This window comes from Homo sapiens, chromosome 19 (genome assembly GCF_000001405.40).
Source record: "Homo sapiens chromosome 19, GRCh38.p14 Primary Assembly".
In the NCBI taxonomy this organism is placed as follows: Eukaryota; Metazoa; Chordata; class Mammalia; order Primates; family Hominidae; genus Homo; species Homo sapiens.
In genome coordinates, this window is record NC_000019.10 from 10,033,920 (window position 1) to 10,060,000 (window position 26,081).

General features: G+C 50.6%; 1 non-coding gene and 1 pseudogene across 2 annotated transcripts in view; both read left to right on the forward strand.

Moving 5' to 3' along the window:
- The first annotated feature begins 4,434 nt into the window (after positions 1–4,434).
- On the forward strand, positions 4,435–4,494 carry MIR5589 (microRNA 5589). The gene has a single exon (NR_049855.1). It is a non-coding gene; the product is annotated as a microRNA 5589 (primary transcript).
- Positions 4,495–7,436: 2,942 nt separating this feature from the next.
- The window catches only part of C3P1 (complement component 3 precursor pseudogene), a 32,783-nt pseudogene continuing 14,138 nt past the window's right edge, over positions 7,437–26,081 (forward strand). The window contains exons 1-18 of the transcript NR_027300.2: positions 7,437–7,560; positions 7,811–7,926; positions 8,565–8,705; positions 8,792–9,001; positions 9,229–9,438; positions 9,728–9,889; positions 11,139–11,216; positions 12,433–12,630; positions 12,811–12,922; positions 13,206–13,291; positions 13,400–13,539; positions 16,077–16,145; positions 18,383–18,434; positions 18,610–18,696; positions 21,328–21,403; positions 21,674–21,842; positions 24,649–24,738; positions 24,891–25,189. The product of NR_027300.2 is annotated as a complement component 3 precursor pseudogene (transcript). The remainder of the gene's footprint in view (positions 7,561–7,810; positions 7,927–8,564; positions 8,706–8,791; positions 9,002–9,228; positions 9,439–9,727; positions 9,890–11,138; positions 11,217–12,432; positions 12,631–12,810; positions 12,923–13,205; positions 13,292–13,399; positions 13,540–16,076; positions 16,146–18,382; positions 18,435–18,609; positions 18,697–21,327; positions 21,404–21,673; positions 21,843–24,648; positions 24,739–24,890; positions 25,190–26,081) is intronic.

Consider the following 26,081-nt stretch of genomic DNA (forward strand, 5'->3'; position numbering starts at 1 on the left):
GTGGCTCACAGGGGTCACAATGGCTTGACCTTGGCGTAGTCCGTTCAGAGGACCTTACGGTTGGGATTACAGTCACACACACCACTATACCCAGCTAATTTTAAAAAAAACTTTTGTAGAGATAGGGTTGGCTATGTTGCCCAGGCTGGTCTCGATTTCCTGGTCTCAAGCGATCCTCCCGGCTCTGCCTCCCTAAGCGCTGGAATTCCAGGTGTCAACCCGAGTCTGGAGAGTTTTTTCATCTGTAAAATGGACCAGTGATGATCCTTCATTCATTAGATTGCTAAGAGAATTTAAACAGACAGTCCAGGTGAATGTGGCTACAGTAAAAATATACACTCCAGGCTGGGCATGGTGGCTCACACCTGTAATCCCAGGGCTTTGGGAGGCCAAGGCTGGAGGATCACTTGAGCCCAGGAGTTCAAGACCAGACTGGGTAACATAGGGAGACCCCCGTCTTTACCAAAAATACAAAAAAATTAGCTGGGCATGGTGGTGCCTGCCTGTAGTCCTAGCTACTTGAGAGGCTGAGGTGGGAGGATCACTTGAGTCTAGGAAGTCAAGGCTGCAGTGAGCTATGATTGTGCCACTGCACTCTAGCCTGGATGACAGAGGGAGACTGTCTCTAAAAACAAAAAATAAAAATAAAAATTTTAAAAATGGCTCAGATGGTTCTACCTGGCAATTCCCACTGTGTAGATGGAGACACTGGTACTGGGAGACAGGGCTCAGACTGGAGGAAAAGAAGGGAAGGACTGCGGAGACAGGCCCTGATGCCCTTTGCCTTTGGGCAGTTGCCTGTCCCAGACTCCTGCAATCCCTGCCCCCAAGAGAGGGAGGATGTGAACACCTGGTGAAGGGGAACACTCACCCCCAGCCCAGGCAGAGCTAAACAGAACCAGTGGAGGCCAGGCACGATGGCTCAGACCTGTAATCCTGGCACTTTGGGAGGCCAAGGTGGGCGGATTACGTGAGGTCAGGAGTTTGAGACCAGCCTGGCCAACATGGTGAAACCTCGTCTCTACTAAAAATATAAAAATTAGCCGGTTGTGATGGCCTGCACCTGTAACCTCAGCTACTTGGGGGGCTAAGACAGGAGAATCACTTGAACCCAAGATTGTGCCACTGCACTCTAGCCTAGGCAACAGAGTGAGACTCTGGGGGAAAAAAAAAAAAAAACAGAACCAGTGGAGATTCCTGAGACCCTGGGACAGTAAATAGACACTAATGTTCTAGAACCTTCCAAATTAACTATAATTTGCTTCCCTGAGCCAGGCTTTAATTTGATTCTATTGAGTCTTTGCTCTCTAAAACATCAACTTAAAAGCATTAGCTGAAGACTCACTGCTCCTCAGCTGCCTGACATGGGGCAAATTGTTTAGCCTCTTGGGGCCTCAATCTCCTCATCTTTGCAATGGGTGAGAATTACTTCAGCATAGCTGCAAGATGACTTCTTCTTTTCTTCTTCTTCTTTTGAGGTAGGGTTACCCAGGCTGGAGTGCAGTGGTATAATCACAGCTCACTGCAGCCTTGACCTCCTGGGCTCAAGCAATCCTCCCACCTCAGCATCCTGAGTAGCTGGGACTACAGGTGTGCACTACCACACCTGGTTTTTTGTTTGTTTGTTCGTTCGTTTTGTAGGGGCAGAGTCTCACTATGTTGCCTGGGCTGGTCTCGAACTTCTGGCCTCAAACAATCCTCCCGCCTCAGCTTCCTACAGTGCCAGGATTACAGGCATGAGCTACCACTCCTGGCCCAGCTGCAAGACTTCTATCAGGGGACATAGAGCACATTGAACAGTGTCTGGCACCTAGTAGGTGCTTGACAAATGCCCAAGGAATAAATAACTAGATCCTACTCCTCCCTTTGCTTCTAACATCCTTGGTTTCAGCTCTCTACAAAGGCAGGATCTAGGAAATGGGCACACATTAAGCCCCAATTCATGGGAGACTATGAGATTTCAGTAGAAAATGCCCTTCGTAAGTAAGTTTGCAGTAAATGTCCACACCACACAGGAAGGGATTTTGTCTGTCATGTTCACTGCTGTGTCCCCAGTATGCTAAGTAGGGGCCAGGGTCAAAGTAAATGCTTGATGAATCTTTGCCGGATAAATGTATATTATCTGCTGGATGCAGTGGCTCATGCCTGTAATCCCAGTACTTTGGGAGGCAGAAGTGGGCGGATCATGAGGTCAGGCGTTTGAGACCAGCCTGGCCAACATGGTGAAACTGCGTCTCTACTAAAAATACAAAAAATTAGCCGGATGTGGTGGTGCACGCCTGTAATCCCAGATACTCAGGAGGCTGTGGCGGGAGATGGCTTGAACCTGAGAGGCAAAGGTTGCAGTGAACCAAGATCGCACCACTGCACTACAGCCTGGGCAACAGAGTGAGATCCATCTTTAAAGAAAAAGAAAATTATATTATCATTTGATGGGGGGATCAGGGACCCTTCAATAGGCAAAATTTCCCAAGCTGGCTGAATTGACATCACTGTAGGGTGCAGATTCAAACAGACTCATCATCAAGCCCAACTGCTTCTTAGAGGCAGACACCACAAAGCCGTCTCAACATTCTCTTTAATAAGCCTGCTAAACATTGAGAATTATTTGAGGACAGAGAAAGCCTTTTTCCAGGAATGCTTCAAGCATGATGTGTTTCCTTCCCTGGTTTAATATGTATAATTTGCCTTCTGGAAAAGGAACCCAGAGACTCTGGCATGACTTAGGAAACAATAGACAATGGTCACAATTTACTAAGCATAACTGTCTCCTGCAAGGATGACGAAATCCATATAGCGCAAGGATTTGAAGCCCAAGAAGAGGACTTTGACCTATGGATTTCTCAGGAGGTTTCGTTATGGTGGATCCTGGAGTCAGATGGTCAAATGCCACATGCTGCTCACTCCCGGAATTGGGAAATAGGGAAAAAATGCCAGCACCTCCCCTGTTTGTGCAGCTGCCCTGTTTTGCCAATTTCACAAAGGCAAAAGTAGGGAAAATCCATCCAGGCTAGGGTAGAAAGATGTTTGCTCTCCTCCTGCCAGCCAATCCCAAGCAAGCCCTGAGTTCAGTGTCCTGGGTGTGCAAAGCTCCTTGCTGGCGGAGGGGAAGGCTTTAGGATATGACCTTCATGGCCAGGCACAGTGGCTCATGCCCGTAATCCCAGCACTTTGGGAGGTTGAGGCGGGTGGATCACTTGAGGTCAGGAGTTCGAGACCAGCCTGGCCAACGTGGTGAAACCCTGTCTCTATTAAAAATACAAAAATTAGTATTTTTGTACTAAGTACAAAATGAGCTTGCTGGCCCATGCGTGTAATCCCCGCTACTTGGGAGACTGAGGCATGAGAATTACTTGAACGTGGGAGACAGAGGTTACAGTGAGCTGACATTGTGCCATTGCACTCCAGCCTGGGTGACAGAGCCAGACTCTGTCTCAGAAAAAAAGGGGAGAGGGGCGTGGATAAGACCCTCATGGCTCATGGGACAGGCAGTTCTCCTACCACTCTGGCCCCCAAGGAAGCGGATGGGGCACTTCTCAAGCATATCTTGGAGGCTTGGCTGGGAAGTAAGAAACACCCCCAACTCCGCCCCATTGGATTTATAGGGATTCTTGCCCCACACCTGTTTAGATATTAACTCAGCCACTACAAGTCAAGGCAAACAGGCCAGGGCCAGGGCAGACAAGAGGACAGACAAGAGGACAGACATCTGCAGCCTGTGGCCTCCTGTCACCCTCCCACCCACCATGGAAATGCCCTGGCCCCTAGGGTGGATTCTGCTTCTTTTGGGAAGCCCCCTCATCCACGCTGAGCCTCTGTGAGTCTGGGGAATGGAGGGGGCTCAGCCGGCTTCCTGCACATCTGATGTCTGCGTGATTCCAGCTTATGACTCGTGTTCGGTGTCATTTTCCCTACTCAAGTCCCTTAATGCCCTTGTGTTAGTCTACTGGCAGGTACATCCTGGTGACCCCCCGAGTTCTGAGGGTTGGCAGTCCGGAGAGCATTCACATTCAGGCCCACTCAGACTCCAGACAGCCCCTCACAAGGACCCTCAAGGTGAACCTCACAGTGTGGGACTTCCCCATGAGGAAGACAGTGTTGGCAAGGAGCCAGCTCATTCTCTCACCAGGAAACAACTTTATGGACCAGGCACCTGTGACGGTGGGTGACAGGCTGGAATGTGTGACCCCAAAGGGAGGCTACAGGTCAGCAATAAAGGTAGAAAGGGGCAGACTTTCTGTCCAGAGAGTAGATAAAGGGCCCAAAGTACTTACCACTCCTCTAATATCCTGTGCATTTAGAAGCCAAAAGTCCCTAAGCCTGGGCTCCAGGAAGCCTCCACTAGCCCATTTGATGCCTCTCTGAGAACTATAAAAGGTGCCTTCTGTTGGTAGCTTGGGAAGATGAGCATGGACTTGATTTCGTCCTTCCTTTGGCTGGGTGCTCTTGTGCAGTGAGCAACCTACACAACTGCACATGGCAACCTAGCTCCCAAAGGCAGAGTCAGAAGACCCTCAGTCAATTGCTCCTCCCAGGATCTGTCCCAGGGCTTTACCCCCAGCCAGGGAGACCCCAGCAGAGCCTGAGGAGTATGGATATATATCTCTCTCAGGTTCCCGAGAGCCTGATGTACCTCCCAAAACCAGGGCAGCAATATGTCATCATCCGGGCAACTTGGGCACCCACCTCGGGCTCCTCATTCATGGAGAAGATGGTGCTGGTGGCTCTTCATGCTGGCTACATCTTTATCCAGACGGAGAAGACCATCTACACCCCTGAGTACTTGGGTACAGCCCCGAGGCACTTGGCTCGGGGCAATCACTGGCTCTCATCCCGTCTCTCCCAATGTCTGAGATACTCCCATCCCCTAAAATCTTCTCCACCTCCCAAGATCTCTCTCTATGCATAAGTGCCCCCCACCCCGCCACTGCCCAAGATGCAAACTCTCTCTCTCTCTTTCCCTTCCTCTACCCAATACTCAGAGTCCTCCTTCTCCCCTAGTTCACTACCGGGTGTTCACTGTGAACCACAAGATGGACCCTGTGACCAGGACATTCACTCTGGACATCAAGGTGGTCTTTCCCGATGAGGGGTGGGGGGTGGTGGTGGATCCTGGACACTGGGGTTACATGGTGTGCTGAAGTCCTGGGGGCATGAGCCACCAGGGCCCTCCCAGAGGGCAGTCACCAGCCCCACCCCCTATCCCCACAGAACCCAAAGGGAATCACCGTGATTAGCCAGAGTCTGATGGCCAAGGATGGCTTCTTTTTCAGCTCCTTTCACCTCCCAGAGCTTGTCAGGTGCCCTTGTCAGGTCTGGGAGCCCGAGGGGTGGCAAAGGAGGCTGTCATTCTCTGTCTCCATCTCTCTTAACTTTCTGTGCCTCAGTTTGGGGACCTGGACCATCGAAGCCAGCTACCAAAGTACACCCAAGCAGAAGTTCGAGGCTGCCTTTGATGTGAAGGAATATGGTGAGAAAGGTGTGGGTGGGGTGAGCAAGATGAATACGCCAGGGACAGGACTTGGAATAGAAAGGAGGTCTCAAGGGGAACCTCTGCTGTAACCCAGGGCCTGAGCTGGATGCTAAGTGTTGGGTGCTGGTGTTGCAGCCCTTCGGGCTTGACAGAGCCACCAAGGAAGGAGCAGGACTGGGAGGGGACGAGGGAGCAGGTAGAATACTGAGGGTGACCATGGCTTTTTTTTTTCTCCCAGTCCTCCCATCTTTTGAGGTCCAGCTGGTCCCAAATAAGACTTTCTTTTACCTCAAGGATGAGGCTCTGGGCGTTGACATCCAGGCTCGGTGAGCCCCCTTCCTCCCAGCTCTGCCAGAAGACCAGGGACACAAAGATTGAGTACAGAGAAACAAGCACCAGGTGCTATGGCTCACATCTGTAATCCCAGTGCTTTGGGAGACCAAGGCAGGAGGATCACTTGAGGCCAGGAGTTCTAGACCAGCCTGGACAACATGGCAAAACCCCTTCTCTACCAAAAAAAAAAAAAAAATTAGCCAAGCTGGCTGGGCATGGTGGCTCACACCTGTAATCCCAGCACTTTGGGAGGTTGAGGTGGGTGGATCGCCTGAGGTCAGGAGTTCAAGACCAGCCTGGCCAACATGGCAAAACCCTGTCTCTACTAAAAAGACAAAAATAGCCAGGCATGTTGGTGCATGCCTGTAGTCCCAGGTACTCAGGGACTACTGAGGTGGGAGAATCGCTTGAACCCAGGAGGCGGAGGTTGCAGTGAGCCGAGATTGTGTCACTGCACTCTAGCCTGGGTGACAGAGTGAGACTCTGTCTCAAAAAAAAAAAAAAATAGCCAGGAGTGGTGGCACATGCCTGTTGTCCCAGTTACTAGGAAGGCTGAGGTGGGAGGATCGCTTGAACCCAGGAGGTAGAGGTTGCAGTGAGCCAAGATTGTGCCACTGCACTGCAGCCTGGGTGACAGAGTGAGACCCCATCTCAAAAAAGAGAAAGAGAGAAGCAAGCCACTTCTGTAGCATTTAGGGTGGTAGACATACTCTTCTCCCACCCATGAGATATTCTGGGCTACCTATGTTGTCCTGTGAGGTTGTACAGACCATGTCTGCCACCTGTGAGGTTGTATAAACCATTTCTTCAAGTCTATGAAGTTGTACAGGCCACCTTGTCTACCCAGTGGTGTTGTACTGCATCTCATCTCATCTGCCACTTCACAGTTTAGACCATCTCTGAAAGTCTATGAGGTAGTACAGGTTATGTTTGCCATCATGAGATTGTCCAGACCATCTCTGCAGCTCTATGTGATGGTAAATGACACATTTGCTGCCTTGTGTTTTACAGACCATCTGCATTGCTATGAGGTTGTGCAGGCAATGCTGTCCACCTGAGATTGTATGGGCTATGTCTGCCACTTCTGGACATTATATGAATCATTCCTGCAGCTCTAACATGCTACACAGGCCACCTAGTTTCCCTGGTGAGGCTGCACAGGCCACTTCATAGGTTGCCCAGACTTCTTTGTGGCTTTATATAGTTTGAAGTCCACCTCCACCATCTTGAGAGATTGCCTAGACCACATCTGCAACCCATCAAGGCTTTATGGGATATATTCGTCACCTCCCAGAGTTGTGTGGGTCATCAATGAAACCATCTAAGTTTCCAAGGGCCACCTCTGCCCCTCCCAATTTTGCACAGCCATCTCTGAAGCAGCATGAGGTATGTGGGTGCTTCAGAGACAGTGGAATTGTCCTCCATCCCCCACGTATATATTTAACAAGCCAGTGGACGGACATGCTTTGGTCATCTTTGGGGTGAAATTGGACTCCTGCCGGATCCCTATCCAAAGCTCCCTGCAGAGGGTGGAGGTGACTGAATCCCAGCTCCTCCCCAACCTCCAATCCACTCCACTCTCTAACGCTCCCCAAAAAACCATATCCTCTCCTCTATCTTACCCTAAGAACAGATCTCTGAAGGCCTGGGCCACGTCTCCCTCCAGAAGGACACGCTCATGGCCGCATTCCAAGGCCCAGGAGAGGACTTCATTGGAGGCTCAATCTTTGTCAATGTCACCATGTTCTCCTCAGGTGCCACCCTCACCCCGGCCCCTGACTGAGGTCAGGACATGGTGTTCTTGCCCAATGCAGACACTCCACCCATGTGACCTTGGGCCACCTCCCAGCCTCAGTTTCCTCATTAGAGAAATGGGTGGAAGGAGCTGAAATAGTGTTATTGTCGTTCTCTGCCTTCACCAAGATGGGGCTCTCATACTAGTCCTGCCACTCACTTAAGAAATTGAACTCCCTCACAAACTCTGTGTTCTCACTGTCTCTACAGGGGGTGAGATGGTGCAAGCTGAGACCTCAGGGGTGAAGATCATCCAGAGCCCATACAACATCAAGTTCACCAGGACACCCCAGTATTTCAAGCCAGGAATGCCCTTCCACTTTCGGGTCAGAGTCTGGACTCACTACACCCAGGGACTCAGGGCCCCCTCCCCAAAGCAGACTTCCCACAAAGAGACAAAAACCCACACTGGACTCACCTGCATCCAACTCATCTGAAGGTTGAGTCTATCATGTTCCCCAGACTAATCCCAGAGTCCCCCCAAACCTTAACCCTAAAGCACAGTGATGGCTCCAGAATTTCTCTGTGGGGACTTAGAGGCCACAATCAGGCTGGAAGTTGGTGTTTGAAAGTTTATCTAGAGGCTGCATTTGCACATCAAAGCATGGCCTTTTCACATATATTAATTTGGATGGGCATTAGGAAAGTCAGGGATATCCTTTGGCACCAATCCTACTCCAAGTCTCCTATAGGCTCTCATGTGTCCTCCTTCCCTCTCCACTCTCAGTCTTCCCACTCACCATCAGCTCTGCAACACCCAGGATAACCACATGTGGTTGTACACTGCAAAGCTCTAGGAGGTGCCATTCATAAAAACTCCAATATGAATGGTGCCCCCGGTGTTGTTTAGTGCACCATGTATAAAGTTGTACAAAGCAGTCCTATTCAGATCATATTCCAGTCTCACCTCTCACACCAGGCCACTGCAGGCTTTTCCTTCACCTTACCCCAGATTCCACCTCAGGTCTTCATCTCAAATCCTGATGGGTCCCCAGCTTCCAGAGTCCTTGTCCACTCCCAAGACCAAAAAGTGTACACCTCAGCTGAGGGGTTGGCCACTCTGACCATCAACACAGATGCAAATCTGGACAAGCTCCCCATCGAGGTACCAACTTGACAAGGCAAGGAGGGTGGGATTAGAGCTGTGTGAGTTGGAAGGGTTGGGGTTTACTTGCCCATCATCCTCCCTAGGTGAAAACTGAGGAATCTCTTCAGCCAGAGGAGCAGGCTTCAGCCAAGATGACAGCTTGGCCTTACTTGACTCAGGATGGGTCAGGAAACTTCCTACACATCGAAGTAAAGACATTGGGCACAGAGGTTGGCAGCAGCATCCAGCTGAGCCTCAACACAAGGCATCAGGACCCTAAAACCAAGGACAAGATTACTCACTTCACCATCCTGGTGAGGAGCTAGGACCAGGGTCTGAGTCAAGGAATTCTTTCCTTGGAAAAACCTTGGCTTGCTGAGTTGGAGAAACTATGAAAAAAGATGTGAAGGTGGCAACAATCTTGAGTGGGCTCAGATCTAGAGGCTGAAGAAAAGAGACTATGAGCCTCCATTGTGGGATGGGACAGATTCAGAGAAAGACTGGCCCTCCCTTCTCATCCTTGACCTCCCTTGTCTTCAAGGTCCTGAGTAAGGGCCAGACCGTGAGTGCCAAACATCAGTCAAAAAGCCAGGGGAGTGTCTACACATCAGCCATTATTGATGTGACTTCAGCGATGCTGCCCTCCTTCCGCATTCTGGCCTTTTATTTACTTCCCAGAGGAGCAAGCCAAGACCCTGAGTTGGTGGCTGATTCCATATGGATTGATGTGAATGACAGATGCATAGGGATGGTAAGCCAAACTCCTTGTAGTTGTGCATCACCATCATAAAGCCCCAGAAAGGGGCTGTACAAGTTTAGGCATTCCCAAACTAGAAGCCAGGGAAGAGAAGGAGAATATGTGGCCTTAAGAGCTCAACACAAGGTGTGGCGGTGATGCAAGTAAATAAATATACGGAGTTGGGATTAGCCTAGTGGAGTTCCCAGATGCTCCACCAGAGCAGTAGGGAACGTAAGCCTGAAAGTGTAGTTGTGTGGTCTATGATTCCCTTTTTCTGACATCTCTCTTTTTCTTGGCTCAGCTGAAAGTTGGCTTGAAGAATGATAGATTCTTCCAGTCTTTGGAGCCCAACAGCCAAGTCGAACTGAAGGTGACAGGTGATGCAGAAGCCACAGTGGGGCTGGTGGCTGTGGACAAGGCTGTCTATGTCTTGAACAGCAAACACAAGCTCACTCAGAAGAAGGTAAGAGCATGTGGGCTTTGGGCCAAGATGTTGCCAGGATATTCTAGCTGGAGCCTCAGCTTCTTCAGCCATAAAGAGGACAACATCAATGTAAGGATTCAAGGAGATGGTGCAAAGTCTAATGACTGAAAGGTGATAAGAGCTCAAAAAATGGGAGATAGTATGAGAATTATGATTTGAGCCTGCAATTCCAGTACACCATTTCTCCTTTCATGGAGGAGTCATACAGGTCCCAAATCCAGGTTCCTGTCTTGACCTCTAGGTCTGGAATGTGGTGGAGGAACATGACATTGGCTGCACAGGAGGAAGTGGGAAAGACAGATTTGCTGTGTTCAAGGATGCTGGATTGGACCTGAAAATCAGCACAGGAATGGATAGCCTGGCAAGCTCAGGCACAGGCTTTGGGGGTTGGGGCAAGAGGAGGGCAGAAATGGGTGCAGTGCTGCCTACTTGGTTTTAGTGTCAAACAGATATGGGCTGTAATCCACATCCTGTCACTTACCATGGGCCAGTCACATTTCTCTCTGAGTCTTGATTTCTTTGTCCATAAAATAGAGATAATAATAGAAGTAACTCACAGTGTGTTGGTTAAGACAGGGTTAGCCATGTGTATCAAATATACAAATAACAGTAGGTCAAACAGGTAGTTTATTTCTCATTCAGTAACACTACAGAGGTCATCCTGGGACTCGGACTCCTTCTAGGAGTCCATCCATGCCAGGCAGCAAGATGAAGGGAAGTGGAAAGGGGAGGACACTTCTTCCACATCTCATTGGCCAGAATATAGTCACATGGCCCCACCTAAGTGCAAGAGAGGCTGGGAAATGTAGTCTTTATTCTGTGTGATCTATACAATATGGAGGCTTACTTGTCACAGATGAGGGATGATAATGGATTTGGAGACAACTAAGAGTGTATTCTCTCAGCTATAAATTGTAATATTAATAATAGTTCTTATTTATTACATGCCAGGTCCAGTGCTAAGTATTTGTATATGCATTATCTCATTGATAGAACTATGATTATGCCCATTTTACGTCACTGGGGAAATTAACACCCAGAGAGGTTAAGTGACTTATTGAAAATCGCCCAGCTTTTAAGTGACAAGTCTTGAATATAGGAGGCTGTCAGATGAAATGAAGTGATGCATATAAAGTGCTGGACATACAGCAAACACCCAATAAACATCATCAAGGATATTGATAATGATCTTGGCGGTTGTTCTATCATCATTCCCTCTGACCCCCAGACTAGCCCTGCCCCCAGGACCCTCCTCCCAGCCGCCATCGCCGCTCCCTGAAGAGGCTGGAGACAAAAAGGAATGCAGGTCAGTGTTAAAGCTGTATGTCTCCCTCCATCTCCCCAACTTAAGGTATCCATCAGGGCTTAGAACAGGACACCAAAACCACTCAATGTATTTCCAGCAGGGAGGGATCTAATAGGGGGAGTTTGGTGCTTACAAAATCATTAGATGGGCTTTTGGGGTGGAAGTTGGAAGGCTGCTTGCTGGGACTCAAGATCACCCACTTCAGTCTTGCAATCCATGAAATATCAGGAAACTGCTGCCAATATCTCTCAAAGGGCTGGTAGGTTGATAATCAAACACGAAATCATGCCCATTACAAAAACACACATAGACTAGAGCCCACCCATCAGCTACCACTGCTGCAGGAAAAATGGTTTCTGCTTCTCTTCTATCTCCCAGATCTCTCATAAAAGCATCTCAGTGGCTGCATCTAATCCCATTCAGAACCCTAGCAGCAAGGGAGTCTGGGAAATGTAGTTTTCAGATGTCTAGCCTCTGTGGTTCAGGATGGAATGTAGACAAAAGGAGAGATAGGTCTTGAGTGTCATTGGACAATATCTGACTAAACTGCCATCCTGAAGGCTAGAATGTGGACCAGAAGAAAAGGCTTTGAGCCTGGAGTCAGAGGAAGATGGGAGGCAGCACCAGGTGTTAGAAGCATGGATTCTGAGGCTGGCATGGTGGCTCATGCCTGTAAACCCAGCACTTTGGGAGGCCAAGGCAGGTGGATCATTTGAGGTCAGGAGTTCAAGACCAGCCTGGCCAACATGGTGAAACCTTGTCTCTACTAAAAATACAAACATTAGCTGGCTGTGGTGGTGGGAACCTGTAATCCCAGCTACATGGGAGGCTGAGGCATGAGAATCGCTTGAACCTGAGAGGCAGAGGTTGCAGTGAGCCAAGATTGCGCCACTGCACTCCAGCCTGGGTGACAGCATGAGACTCCATCTCAAAAAAAAAAAAATGCAGTATGGATTCTGGTTCCACCTCTGCCACTTGGGAGCCTTGACTCTAAGCAAATGAATTCACGTCTCTGTGGCTCAGCTTCCTTGTCAGAATCTCACCATGTGAGTTCAATATGAGGCTTCAGAAAGGGCACAGATAAGGCACTAGGCATAGAATCTACCACAGAGTAATTGCTAAATAGTGGCAAGGTGTGCATAGCATCAAGGTGAATGGGTCCCAGCTTCTTAGGTCCTGCCCAACCCTCCTCTTTCCCTCTGACTCTGGCCCACAGTGAACAAGTTTAAGACAGAGCTGGAGCAAAAGTGCTGTGAGGCTGGGCTCCGGGAGAGCCCAGTGGGGCTGTCTTGTGAGGAGAGGACCTGGCATGTCCGCCATGGTCCAGCCTGTGTGGCTGCTTTCCTGGACTGCTGCCATCTGTCTGAGACCCTGACTCGGGAGGCTCGAGAGGATCAATTGCATCTGTGGACAAGTGAGGGGGCTATGGCAGGAGATGCAGGGTGGGGGGCTTCATGGAGGGATATAGAGTGACATGGGACAGGTTAAGGGGTGATATGGGCCATGGAGGGTTGGAAAGGAGGACTCCACAAGGAGTCTGATGGAACATGGAAGAAACATGAAGGAGACTCCACCTCACACCTGCTCCCTCCAGCGGATGAAGAAGAGGACTTCGATGACCTCTTCTTGGATGACATGCCTGTGCGGACCTTGTTCCCCGAGAGTTGGCTCTGGAGGAAGTTCACTCTGCCAAAGAGTAAATCGGGGTAAGACATCAGCCTCCATACCAGAATCTGGTCCCAGGTCCTTGCAATCATCAGTGGATGCTGGTCAGGGACAATGACCCCAGCAGTGACATCGAGCCTCAGGACAGTCCCATAATTGGGAAAACATCTTAATGGATTCCCTAAAAGGATGACCCTCTAGTGAGGCTGTCACTAATGAGGTGATCTGATGATCCTCAATAGTGACCATAACCCCTGCATGGTGACCCCAAATCCAGAAGCTCTATCCAGCACAAACTCAGTGATGTTTTCTCACTCACAACAGCATCTCCCATTACCCCATCTCTGTGAAGGTGCCAGATTCCATCACCACGTGGCAGTTTGTGGTGGTCAGCCTCAAGGCTGGACAAGGTGAGCCGCAGCAAGCCCAGTGCCAAGGGAATGGGGGTATGGTGACCTTACCCAGCCCCTCCCCCAACGGAGCCTCTGCTTAAACCCAATGTGCTCTCCTGGCTGTAGGTCTCTGTGTCTCGGACCCCTTTGAGCTGACAGTTATGAAATCGTTCTTTGTGGACCTTAAGTTGCCCTCCTCCGTGATCAGGAATGAGCAGGTCCAGATCCAAGCCATGTTGTACAATTTCAGGGATCGCCAGGCCAAGGTGAAGCCCCAAGCCCTCAACTTCCTGCCAAAACCTCTGCTAGTGTGTATTTCATTTTATTTTTTAATGGCTTTATTTCATTTTATTTATTTTTTGAGACAGAGTTTGCTCTGTCACCCAGGCTGGAGTGCAGTGGCACGATTTCGGCTCACTGCAACCTCTGCCTCCTGGGTTCAAGCGATTCTCCTACCTCAGCTTCCTGAGTAGCTGGGACTACAGGCGCCCTGCCACCATGCCTGGCTAAGTTTTGTATTTTTAGTAGAGATGGGGTTTCACCATGTTGGCCAGGCTGGTCTCAAACTCCTAACCTCAAGTGATCCACCCGCCTCAGCCTCCCAAAGTGCTGGGATTACAGGCGTGAGCCACCGCACCCAGCATATTTTATTTTATTTTTGGAAACAGAATCTTGCCTTGTCACCCAGGCTGGAGTGCAGTGACGTGATCTCGGCTTGCTGCAATCTCACCTCACAGGTGCAAGCAATTCTCGTGCCTCAGCTTCCCCAGTAGCTGGGATCACAGGTGTGGGCCACCATGCCTGGCTAATTTTTAGTATTTTGGTTAGAGACAGGATTTTGCCATGTTGCCCAGGCTGGTCTCAAACTCCTAAGCTCAAGTAATCCACCCTCCTCAGCCTCCCAAAGTGTTAGGATTACAGGTGTGAGCCACCGTGTCCAGCCTGTTAGTGTGTTTTAGAAAAGGAAATTCAGTGTATTTTTATTCCTATCGGTCAGTGAAGTGGTGGCTCTTTTGGAAAATCTAAGGTATTCTCTTATTTAGCCAGGCATAGTGCTGCACACCTGCAGTTTCAGCTACTTGAGAGGCTGAGGTGGGAGGATCTCTTGAGCCCAGTAGGTCAACGCTGCAGTAAGCTGTGATTGCACCACTGCACTCCAGCCTGGGTGACAAAGTGAGACCTTGTCTCTACAAAAAATGATCTTAAAAAAATTAGCCAGGCTTGATGGCATGCACCTGTGGTGCCAGCTGCTCAGGAAGCTAAAGCAGGAGGATCGATTGAACCCAGCAGTTTGAGGCTGCACTGAGTTGTATTTGGACCACTGCACTCCAGCCTGGGTGACAGAGTGAGACCAAGAAAGAAAGAGAGAAAGGGAGAGAGAGAGAGAGAGAGAGAGAGAGAGAGAAAAGAAGAAGAAGAAGAAGAAGAAGAAGAAGAAGAAGAAGAAGAAGAAGAAGAGGAGGAGGAGGAGGAGGAGGAGGAGGAGGAAGAGGAAGAGGAAGAAGAAGAGGAAGAAGGAGGAGGAGGAGGAAAGAAAGAAAGAAGGAAAGAAAGAAAGAGAGAGAGGGAGGGAGGGAGAAAGAGAGAAAGAAAGAAAGAGAAAGAAGAAAGAAAAAGAAAGAAGAAAGAGAAAGAGAAAGAAAAAGAAAGAAAAAGAAAGAAAGAAGGAAGAAGAAAGAAAGAATGAATGAAAGAAAGAAAGGAAGGAAGGAAGGAAGGAAGGAAGGAAGGAAGGACGGAAAAGGAGAAAAGGGGGCCGGGCATGGTGGTTCATGCCTGTAATCCCAGCACTTTGGGAGGCTGAGGCGGGCAGATCATGAGGTCAGGAGATCGAGACCATCCTGGCTAACACGGTGAAACTCCATCTCTAATAAAAATAAAAAATTTGGCTGGGCGCGATGGCTCACGCCTGTAATCCCAGCACTTTGGGAGGCCGAGGTGAGCGGATCACAAGGTCAGGAGATCAAGACCATCCTGGCTAACACGGTGAAACCCCGCCTCTACTAAAAAATACAAAAAATTAGCCGGGCGTGGTGGCGGGCGCCTGTAGTCCCAGCTACTCAGGAGGCTGAGGGCAGGAGAATGGTGTGAACCCGGGAGGCAGAACTTGCAGTGAGCCGAGATTGCGCCACTGCACTCCAGCCTGGGCGAGAGTGCGAGACTCCATCTCAAAAAAAAAAAAAAAAAATTAGCCGGGCATGGTGGCGGGCTCCTGTAGTCCCAGCTATCCGGGAGGCTGAGGCAGGAGAATGGCATGAACCCAGGAGGTGGAGCTTGCAGTGAGCTGAGATCCCACCACTGCACTCCAGCCTGGGCGACAGTGCGAAACTCCATCAAAAAAAAAAAGAAAGAAAGAAAGAGAGAAAGACAGAGGAAGAAAGAAAGAAGAGAAAGAAGGGGGGGAGAGAGAGAGAGAGAGAGAGAAAAAGAAAGAAAGAAAGAAAGAGAAAGAGAGAGAGAAAGAAAGAAAGAAAGAAGAAGGAAGGAGGGAGGGAGGGAGAGAGGAAGGAAGGAAGGAAGGAAGGGAAGTTAAACCTCACAACAACCCCATCAGATGGGTACTATTATTGTTCTTGGTTTACAGATGAGGAAATTGAGGCACAGAGAGGTTAAAGGGCTTGCCTGGAGTCACACAGCACATAAATGGCAGATGGGGCTCTGACTCAGGCTGGGTCTGTGGTCCTCATCACTAGGCTTTGCTGTCACCTACGCAGGCATCTCAGGGTGGGGAGGGGACTGTGACCCTAGGGTCCTGGACCACACCATACATAGATACCCCATCCCTTTGCCCATCCTGCCCTAGGTCCGAGTGGAGTTCCCCCACAAGGAGACACTGTGCAGTGCGTCAAAGCCAGGAGCACCATCCCACCAGGTAGTGGTCGTGCCCCCCACCTCCTCCAAGATAGTACACTTTGTGCTTCTCCCTCTGGAGACAGGCAAAGTGGACGTGGAGGTCAAGGCTGTGGGCTACGGGGTCCAGGACCATGTGAAGAAGACACTCTTGGTCCGGGTAATGGGCACTCCCAACTCACTAGCTGCTGGTGCAGACAGCGGGGCTTCCACCAGGTCCAGGCTGGGCAGGTGGGCCCAGGATCGATAAGCAAGGCTCCTAGATGGGAGTGAGGTGAGAAAGAACAGATTTGAAAGTTCAGTCAGTTGGCTGGGCATGGTGGCTCAAGCCCGTAATCTCAGCAGTTTGGGAGACCAAGGTGGGTGGATCACCTGAGGGTAGGAGTTCGAGACCAGCCTGGCCAACATGGTGAAACTCCAACTCTGCTAAAAATACAAAAATTAGCTGGGCATGGTGGTGCACACCTGGAGTCCCAGCTACTCGGGAGGCTGAGGCAGGAGAATCGCTTAAACCTGGGAGGTGGAGGATGCAGTGAGCCAAGATTGCACCACTGCACTCTAGCCTGGGCAACAGAGCGAGACTCGGTCTCAAAAAAAAAAAAAAAAGAAAGAAAGAAAAGAAAAGAAAAAAAGAAGAAAAAAGTTTAGTCAGTGGACTGATGTGAGGGGGTCAGGTCACAAGCCCCCACTTGAGAGTTTTGGAGTCAGGCCTGGGTTCTAATCTTGTCTCTGCTGTGTGACCTTGGGCAACTTACTTAACTTCTCTGTTCTGAGCCTCCATTTCCTTGCTTGCAGGATGAGGATAATCATCATATCCCTGAATAAACATAGAGCTGGGAAAATGACCCAGAACCAGTGTATGGCCTATCAAAAACATTTTATTAGACTGGGCTTGGTGGCTCATGCCTATAATCCCAGCACTTTGGGAGGCCAAGGCAGGAAGATTGCTTGAGCCCACGAGTTTGAGATCAGCCTGGGCAATATAGCAAGACCTCTCTAGAAAAAAATTAAAAATTAGCCTGACATGGTGTTGTGCACCTGTAGTTGCAGTTACTCAGGAAGCTGAGGGAGGATTGCTTGAGCCCATGAGATTGAGCCTGAAGCTGAGATCACGCCACTGCACTCCAGCCTGGGCAACAGAGCAAGACCCTCTCTCTAAAAAACAAACAAAAAACTTTATTTGCTTAACAAACACATGTTTAACACTTAAGATATAAATGCTTAAGAATATTAACTCGGGCCAGGTGCGGTGGCTCACACCTGTAATCCCAGCACTTTGGGAGGCCAAGGCGGGCGGATCATGAGGTCAAGAGATCGAGACCATCCTGGCTAACATGTTGAAACCCCGTCTCTACTAAAAATACAAAAAATTAGCTGAGCGTGGTGGCGGGTGCCTGTAGTCCCAGCTACTCAGGAGGCTGAGGCAGGAGAATGGCATGAACCTGGGAGGTGGAGCTTGCAGTGAGCCGAGATAGTGCCACTGCAGTCCAGCCTGGGCAACAGAGCGAGACTCGGTCTCAAAAAAAAAAAAAATATTAACTCAGTCAGGTGTGGTGGCACCCCGCCCCCCCCCCCCCCCCCCGGTATTCCCAGCTATTTGGGAGGCTGAGGTGGGAGGATCATTTGAGCCTAGAAATTCGAGTCCAGCCTGGGCAACCTGAAGTTTTTTTTTCTCTGGAAAAAAAATTAACTAGGCCAGGCATGGTGGCTCATGCCTATAATCTCAGCACTTTGGGAGGCTGAAGCAGGTGAATCACTTGAGGCCAGGAGTCCAAGCCTGGCCAACATGGCAAAACCCTATTTCTACTAAAAATACAAAAATTAGCCTGTCTTGATGGTGTGCACCTATAATTCCAGCTACTCAGGAGGCTGAGGCATGAGAATCCCTTGAACCTGGGAGGTGGAGGCTGCAATGAGCTGAGATCGTGCTACTGCCTCCAGCCTGAGTGACAGAGTGAGACCCTATCTCAAAAAATAATAATAATAACTAATTCAGCCCTCCAAACAACCCTATGAGTGAGGGACTATTCTTATCCCCCTTTGATATATGAGAAAACTGAGGCAGAGAGAGGGTAACTAATTTTCCCAAGGACACACAGCTAGGAAGCAGAAGAGCTGGGATTCGAACCCAGGTATTTGGGCTCCAGAGTCTGTGCTTATCACAGCCAAGCAATGCCTCCTCTCACCATCACTGCGATTGTCATTCTGACTGTGATTGCTGTTTTTGCTTTTGACTTATATCCTCATCTCATCCCTCAGGCAGGGGTTCAGATCCAGCAAACGTCCTATAGCATCGTCCTGGAACCCCAAGGTTTGTGAGATCTGCAGGGGGCCTGTGAGATCCTGGGGCTGTGCTAGGGAGGAGGAAGCAGTTGGCATGAGGGGATATGCTCAGATAGGGATTCTGAGCCCCAGCCCCGGGCTCTGTGCACCCTGACTTCCCCAGCCCCAGAGCCCACTTGTCACAGAAGGTTGTGGTTATTCAGGTCAGACCCAGACAAAACTGGTGCCAAGACAGGAGTTCTTGAACATGGTACCCGACACGGAGGCGGAAGTGTTTATCAGTGTTCAAGGTGCTGGGGGACACAGGGACATGGGGAGGGCTGACGCTGGGTTCTCTAAGGTCCGTGAGGCACCAGAGCAGGAGGAGCCGTGTGGGGCGATCAGTAAACCACTGTGGCTTAAGCATAGGCCACTCCCAGGGTGACCCAACTCACCCACCTGACAGGTGACATCCTTGGTGAGACAATTGTGGGCAGCCTGACACCCAGTGAGATTCAGCAGCTGCTGCGGGTCCCCACGGGCTGCCCTGAGCAGACGCTGAGCTCCCTGACGCCCGTCATCATCCTGTCCCGCTATTTGGATACCACCGGCCAGTGGGGCAAGGTCGGGGTGGAGCACAGGGACCAGGTGATGAAGAATATTGTCAGCGGTGAGAGCGGGGACCCTCCTGGGGCCTCCAAGAGGGTGCCTGGGGATCTCCCGGAGGGTGGCTGGGGCACCCCCAGGATTGGGGAAATCTTCATGGGACCCCCCAGCCCCCGCCTCAGGCATTAACACCCAAACTATGACTCCTTCCCCAGACTACAACCTGATACCAATTCCCCAACGTCATCCCCCAGCTGTGACACACCCATGGGAATTCTTCACCTGACCACTTTCCCAGGCTTTAATCTTTTTTTTTTTTTTTTTTTTTTTGCAATGGAGTTTCATTCTGTCACCCAGGCTGAAGTGCACTGGTGTGATCTTGGCTCACCGCAACCTCCGCCTCCCAGGTTCAAGCCATTCTGCGGCCTCAGCCTCCCGAGTAACTGGGATTACAGGTGCCCGCCACCATGTCTGGCTAATTTTTGTATTTTTACTTTTATTTATTTATTTATTTTGAGACGGACTCTCACTCTGTCACCCAAGCTGGAGTGTAGTGGCACAGTTTCGGCTCACTGCAACCTCCGCCTCCTGAGTTCAAGTGATTCTCCTGCCTCAGCCTCCTGCGTAGCTGGGATTACAGGTGCCCGCCACCACACTCAGCTAATTTTTGGATTTTTAGTACAGATGGGGTTTTGCCATGTTGGCCAAGCTGCTCTAGAACTCCTGACCTCAGGTGATCCACCTGCCTTGGCCTCCCTAAGTGCTGGGATTACAGGTGTGAGCCACCGCGCCAGACCTCCAGGCTTCAGTCTTATGACAGACACCCTGATTTCTCCCAAAAAGCCATCCTGCGAGAGGATGTTATACTCAGGCCCTGCCCCAGGTTACACCCCCTCAGTGCCACTCCCAGGGAACCCTAGGGAACACCCAAGCAGCAAACCCCAGAATAACCCCAGGCAGTGGGCTCTTGGTTGCACCTGTATGCTGATACTTCCCCAGGTTACAACCACACACCCTAGGGAGCAACCAGAGATGAACACCCCTAGTAACACCCATAGACCTCTGAGTTAATTGGTCCCAGGTTACCCTCAGACTCCAACTTTCCCTCCAGGTTTTCTCAAGCAGTAATCCCACAGGTAATGTCCAGATACTGTCACCCCAATGCTCCAAGCAAACAGTAAACCTCCAGGGGAACTTCAAGTAATACCCGAGTAGCGAGGCTCAGAATACACCTGAAAGGCTGGGTGTGGTGGCTCACGCCTGTAATACCAGCACTTTGGGAGGCCAGGGCAGGAGGATCACTTGAGCCCAGGAGTTTGAGATCAGCCTGGGCAACATAGTGAGACCCCCATCTGTACAAAAAATTTAAAAATTGGCTAGATATGGTGGTTCACGCCTGCAGTCTCAGCTACTCAGGAGCCTGAATGGGAGGATTGCTTGAGCCCCAGAGTTTGAGACTAGCCCGGGCAACATAGTGAGACTTCATCTCTAAAAAAATTAGCCTGGTGTGGTGGCACATGCCTGTAGTCCCAGCTACTTGGGAGGCTGAGGTGGGAGGATAGCTTGACCAGGGAAGGGCGAGGCTTCAGTGAGCTATGATTGTACCACTGCACTCCAGCCTGGGTGACAGAGTGAGACCCAGTCTCAAAAAAATAAAAATAAATAAAAAGAGGGCCGGGCATGGTGGCTCACACCTGTAATCCCAGCACTTTCGGAGACCGAGGCAGGTGGATCACCTGAGGTCAGGAGTTAGAGACCACCCTGGCCAACATGGTGAAACCCAGTCTCTACTAAAAATACAAAAATTAGCCAGGTGTGGTGACGCATGCCTGTAATCCCAGCTACTCAGGAGGCTGAAGCTGGAAAATTGCTTGAACCCGGGAGGCGGAGGTTGCAGTGAGCCGAGATCACACTACTGCACTCCAGCCTGGGCGATAGAGCAAGACTCCGTCTCAAAAAAAAATAAAAGAAAACTCCCACGTAGCACCCCTCAAGTTGCCCCATCTCCCAGGTTGCATGTGGACAACAACACCTTCTATGATTTCTTCCAGCAGCAACTCCAAGGGTAGCATGCCCTGCTCCAGAGACCCTGAGGTGAAGGTTTCCTGGGTTACACCCAGAGACAACTGCATCCTGGGTCCCTCAAAGTCATTCCTGAGCCCTGCTCCTCACTTACATCTGGGCCCTAAACACCCCTCCAAAGTACACCTGGACAACAGGTCTCCCCTTCTAGATTACCTGTATGTGTGACACCCCCGTGTCACCTCTAGTCCCTGCCCGCCAGGTTATTCCTGATAACACTGACTGTCCCTCAAAGCCCTGCTCTGTTTCCCCAGGCTACACTCAGATGCTGACCCACCGGAGTTCAGACGGCACCTACCACACCTCCAAGGGGAACCCAGGAAGCACTTGGTGAGGATGACCCTATCTCTCCTGCCACTGCCACCCTGGAAGCCCAAGGGTCCAGCCTGGGGTCTGATGACCCAGGAGCACCCACGCTGTAGAGTCATGGGGTCTTGGGGTGTCCAGCGCACGGCCCTGGGGCATTCTACACTGGCAGACCTGGGCAGCGGCGAATGACAGGGGTCCACCTGGAATGGTGTGGACCATGGTGTAGACTCCCCTATCCCAGAGCCCCCTTGACTGCGGTTCGCAGGTGTCACTTTTGCCCTCTCCTGACAGGCTCACAAGCTATGTGTTCCGCGTCTTTGCCCTGGCCTACTCTATGATGACGACCCAAGTGCTTAGCCTGTCCTCTCTCTGTGACATGGCCAACTGGATCATCATCGACAGGCAGGCAGAGGATGGGCACTTCCTGGAGAAGGGCCCTGTGGTCATGACATCCATGCAGGTGATCACAGCCCTCCCTGCCTGGGCCATTCAAACAAATCCGAGGGACTCTGTGCACTAAGAGGGGGATTTCAGGCTCCCAATCTGTTCTCGGGCAGAATGAGAACAGGAAAGAGCTGAGGCTCAGCGCCAAGGATCACATCCCCCCCGGTCTGAACCACCTCATACTCTGTTAGAATGTGGGTGAGGCTGGGCATATCTGGGAACCCATCTCTTCTTCATCCCCACATCAAGCAGTGGCTCGCCCTGGCCCTCCTCCCTCAGGAACTGAGTCCTCCCCAGCTTGCATACCCATCCCCACCAAGAGTCCCCTCACACCAGCGTCCAGAAATGTCTTTCAAATGCAGCCTGGCAGGTCTCTCCCCTGTTCAAACACCTGCTGTGGCTCACAGCTATCTTTGTCTGTATCACCTCCTAGGCCTCACCTCACCCCTCCCTTCTCACTATTCACACTTAACCACTCACGGGCTCCTCCAACTCTCCTCCAAAAAGCGCTTTTGCTGCCCTCTCTGCATGCACCAGGCCAAATTATTATTATTATTAATTTTGAGACAGAGTTCCACTCTGTCACCCAGACTGGAATGAAGTGGCATGATCTCAACTACTGCAACCTCCATCTCCTGGGTTCAAGCGATTCTTATGCCTCAGCCACCCGAGTAGCTGAGATTACAGGCATTTGCCACCACATCCAGCTAATTTTTACATTTTTGTTTTAGTAGCTGGGGTTTCACCATGTTGTCCAGGCTGGTCTCAAACTCCTGGCCTCAAGTGATCTGCCCACCTCGGCCTCCCAAAGTTCTGGGATTACAGACATGAGCCACGGCTGGAGTGCAGTAGCATGATCTCGGCTCACTGCAACCTCTGCCTCCTGGGTTCAGCCTATTGTTATTATTTTTAGGGACAGGATCTTGCTCTGTCGCCCAGGCTGGAATGCAGTAGCTTAATCATGGCTCATTACAGCCTCAAACTTCTGAGCTCAAGAGATCTCCCTGCCTTAGCCTCCTCAGTGGCTGGGACTACAGATGCACACCACCATTCCTGGCTAATTTTTTTTTTTTTTTTTTGAGATGGAGTCTTGCTCTGTTGCCCAGGCTGGAGTGCAATGGCGCAATCTCGGCTCACTGCAACCTCTGCCTCCCGGGTTCAAGTGATTCTCCTGCCTCAGCTCCCCAAGTAGTTGGGACTACAGGCACACACCACCATGCCCGGCTAATTTTTGTAGTTTTAATAGAGATGGGGTTTCACCATGTTGACCAGGCTGGTCTTGAACTCCTGACCTCAGGTGATCTGCCCATCTTGGCCTCCCAAAGTGCTGGGATTACAGGCATGAGCCATCACCCCTAGCACTGACATGATCTTCTTTTTTTTTGAGACGGAGTCTTGCTCTGTCGCCCAGGCTGCAGTACAGTAGCACGATCTCAGCTCACTGCAACCTCCGCCTCCTGGGTTTGAGCGATTCTTCTGCCTCAGCCTCCTGAGTAACTGGGACTACAGGCAAGTGCCACCATGTCCAGCTACTTTTTGTATTTTTAGTAGAGACAGGGTTTCACCATATTGGCCAGGCTGGTCTCGAACTCCTGACCTCGTGATCCATCCCCCCACCCCCCCGGAACCCCGCCCCTTGGCCTCCCAAAGTGCTGGGATTACAGGTGTGAACCACAGCACCCGGATTTTTTTTTTTTTTTTTTGAAACAGAGTCTTGCTCTGTCGCCCAGGCTAGAGTGCAGTGATGCAATCTCAGCTCACTGCAACCTCCGCCTCCCAAGTTCAAGCGATTCTTCTGCCTCAGCCTCCCGAGTAGCTGGAACTACAGGCTTGTGCCACCACGCCCAGCTAATTTTTTGTATTTTTAGTAGAGATGGGGCTTCATCCTGTTAGCCAGGATGGTCTCGATGTCCTGACCTCATGATCCACCCGCCTCAGCCTCCCAAAGTGCTGGGATTACAGACGTGAGCCACCACGCCCAGCCGACATGACCTTATAAGGACACCAGTTATTAGACTTAGGGTCCACCCTAATCCAGTATGACCTTTTCTTAATTTTAATTACATCCTCAAAGACCCAATTTCCAAATAAGATCACATCTTGAGGTCCCAGGTGAACATGAATTTTGGGGTCACTATTCAAGTCCAGAGAGGGGAAGAGGGTGGAAGCCAGGGTACTAAAGTGGTGTTTGGACCCTGAGTTGGCCATTTTCTAGCAATGGGAAGACTTTGCCACTCTGACCTCTGTTTTCTCATCAGTAAAATGGGGCTGCTGCTAGAATGCTCTGAGATGGTCTACAGAGCTCAGCTTCTTGTGTTGATAGCTTTTTGTTTGTTTATTTGTTTTGTTTTGTTGTTTTTGAGACAGTCTCGCTCTGTCGTCCAGGCTGGAATGCAACGGTGTGATCTCAGCTCACTGCAACTTCTGCTTCCCGGGTTCAAGCGATTCTCCTGCCTCAGCCTCCCCAGTAACTGGGCTTACAGGCACCCACATCATGCCCAGCTAATTTTTGTATTTTTGTAGGGACAGGGTTTCACCATGTTGGCCAGGCTGGTCTCAAACTCCTGACCTCTGGTGATCCTCCTGCCACGGCCTCCCAAAGTGCTGGGATTATAGGCATGAGCCACTGCGCCTGGCCGATATCTTTTGTTAGTAGGGCAGACCCCAGGGAGGCAAACCTCTCCTCTCTGTCTTCATCCCACCTCCACCATCATCCAGCCCAGAGCTGGGTACCTGGAAACTTCTCAGGGTCAGACAGGAGAGGCTGAGGAAGGCATCTCCAAGACGCTGAGGGAATCACAGATGGAACTCTGCATCCACAGGATGGCTACCAAGGCTCCGAGGAGGATGTATCCCTCACAGCTCTTGTCCTAATAGCCCTGAATGAGGGAAAGGAGTTGTGCAGACAGAAGGTAGGACCCCAGAGAGGAGGGCAGGATCTGTAAGGTCCTCTAGCCCCAGCATCTGGAAAGCTCCCCCACCCTCACATCCCTCTGGGTCCCTCTAACTCCCAGACTTCTTTCCTCTGATCATCTCCCTCTGGCCCCTCCCTCTGGCCCTCTAGAATTTGATGGCCAGCATCGAGAGAGCCCGTGGCTTCCTGGAGAGAAAACTTCCCGACATTCAGACAACCTTTGCCGTAGCCATAGCCTCCTATGCACTGGCCCTTGCCAACAGCTCCCAAGCCAACGACTGCCTGGACAGCTTTGCCAGCCCTAGTGGGTGTGGGATGCTTCTTAATCAACCTCAGTCATGGAGTGGGGAGGGGGTGATCTCAAATCCAGCAATGTGTTATTCATCACTTAGTGTTTCCTGAGCATCCACTGTGTATCACCTCCTGAGCTCAGACCCTGTGAGACCAAGGTGAGCAACACTGGTAAGTTCCCTGCCCTCAAGGGTCCCACCGTCCTTGGAAGAGACAATCAGAAGGTCACTATATAATTCCAAACTGAGGCTTGGAGCAGCGGCTCACGCCTGTAATCCCAGTACTTTGGGAAGCCGAGGCAGGTGGATCACCCTTGGTCAGGAGCTCGAAACAAGCCTGGCCAACATGGTGAAACCTCGTCTCTATTAAAAATGTAAAAATTAGCTGGGCGTGGTGGTGGGTGCCTGTAATCCCAGCTACTTGGGAGGCTGAGGCAGGAGAATCGCTTGAAGCCAGGAGGCAGAGGTTGCAGTGAGCCAAGATCACACCACTGCACTCCACCCTGGGTGACAGAGGGAGGCTCTATCTCAAAATAATAATAATAATTCCAAAATGAGACAAGCACTGAGATGATAACACACAAGGTGGGTGGGAGAGATGGCAAGGGGAGGGGAGTACAGGTTGGAGGGCTGAGATGAAAGATGGAAAGACATACCTGCTAGGTGTGATGGCTCATGCCTGTAATCCCAGCTACTTGGGAGTCTGAGACAGGAGGATTTCTTGAGGCCAGGAGCTCGAGACCAATCTGGGCAACATAGTGAGACCCCATCTATAAAAAAAGTTTGCAATTAGCTGGGTGTGGTGGTGCGCACCTGTAGTCCCAGCTAGTAGGGAGGCTGAGGCAGGAGGATCACTTGAGTCCAGAAAGCCAAGGCTGCAGTGAGCTGTGATCATCCCACTGCACTCCAGCCTGGGCAATAGACCAAGACTCTGTCTCTATTAAAAAAAAATAAAAAAATAAAAAATAAAAAATAGAAACTTTTTTTTTTGGGACGGAGTCTGGCTCTGTTGCTCAGGCTGGAGTGCAGTGGCACGATCTTGGCTCACTGC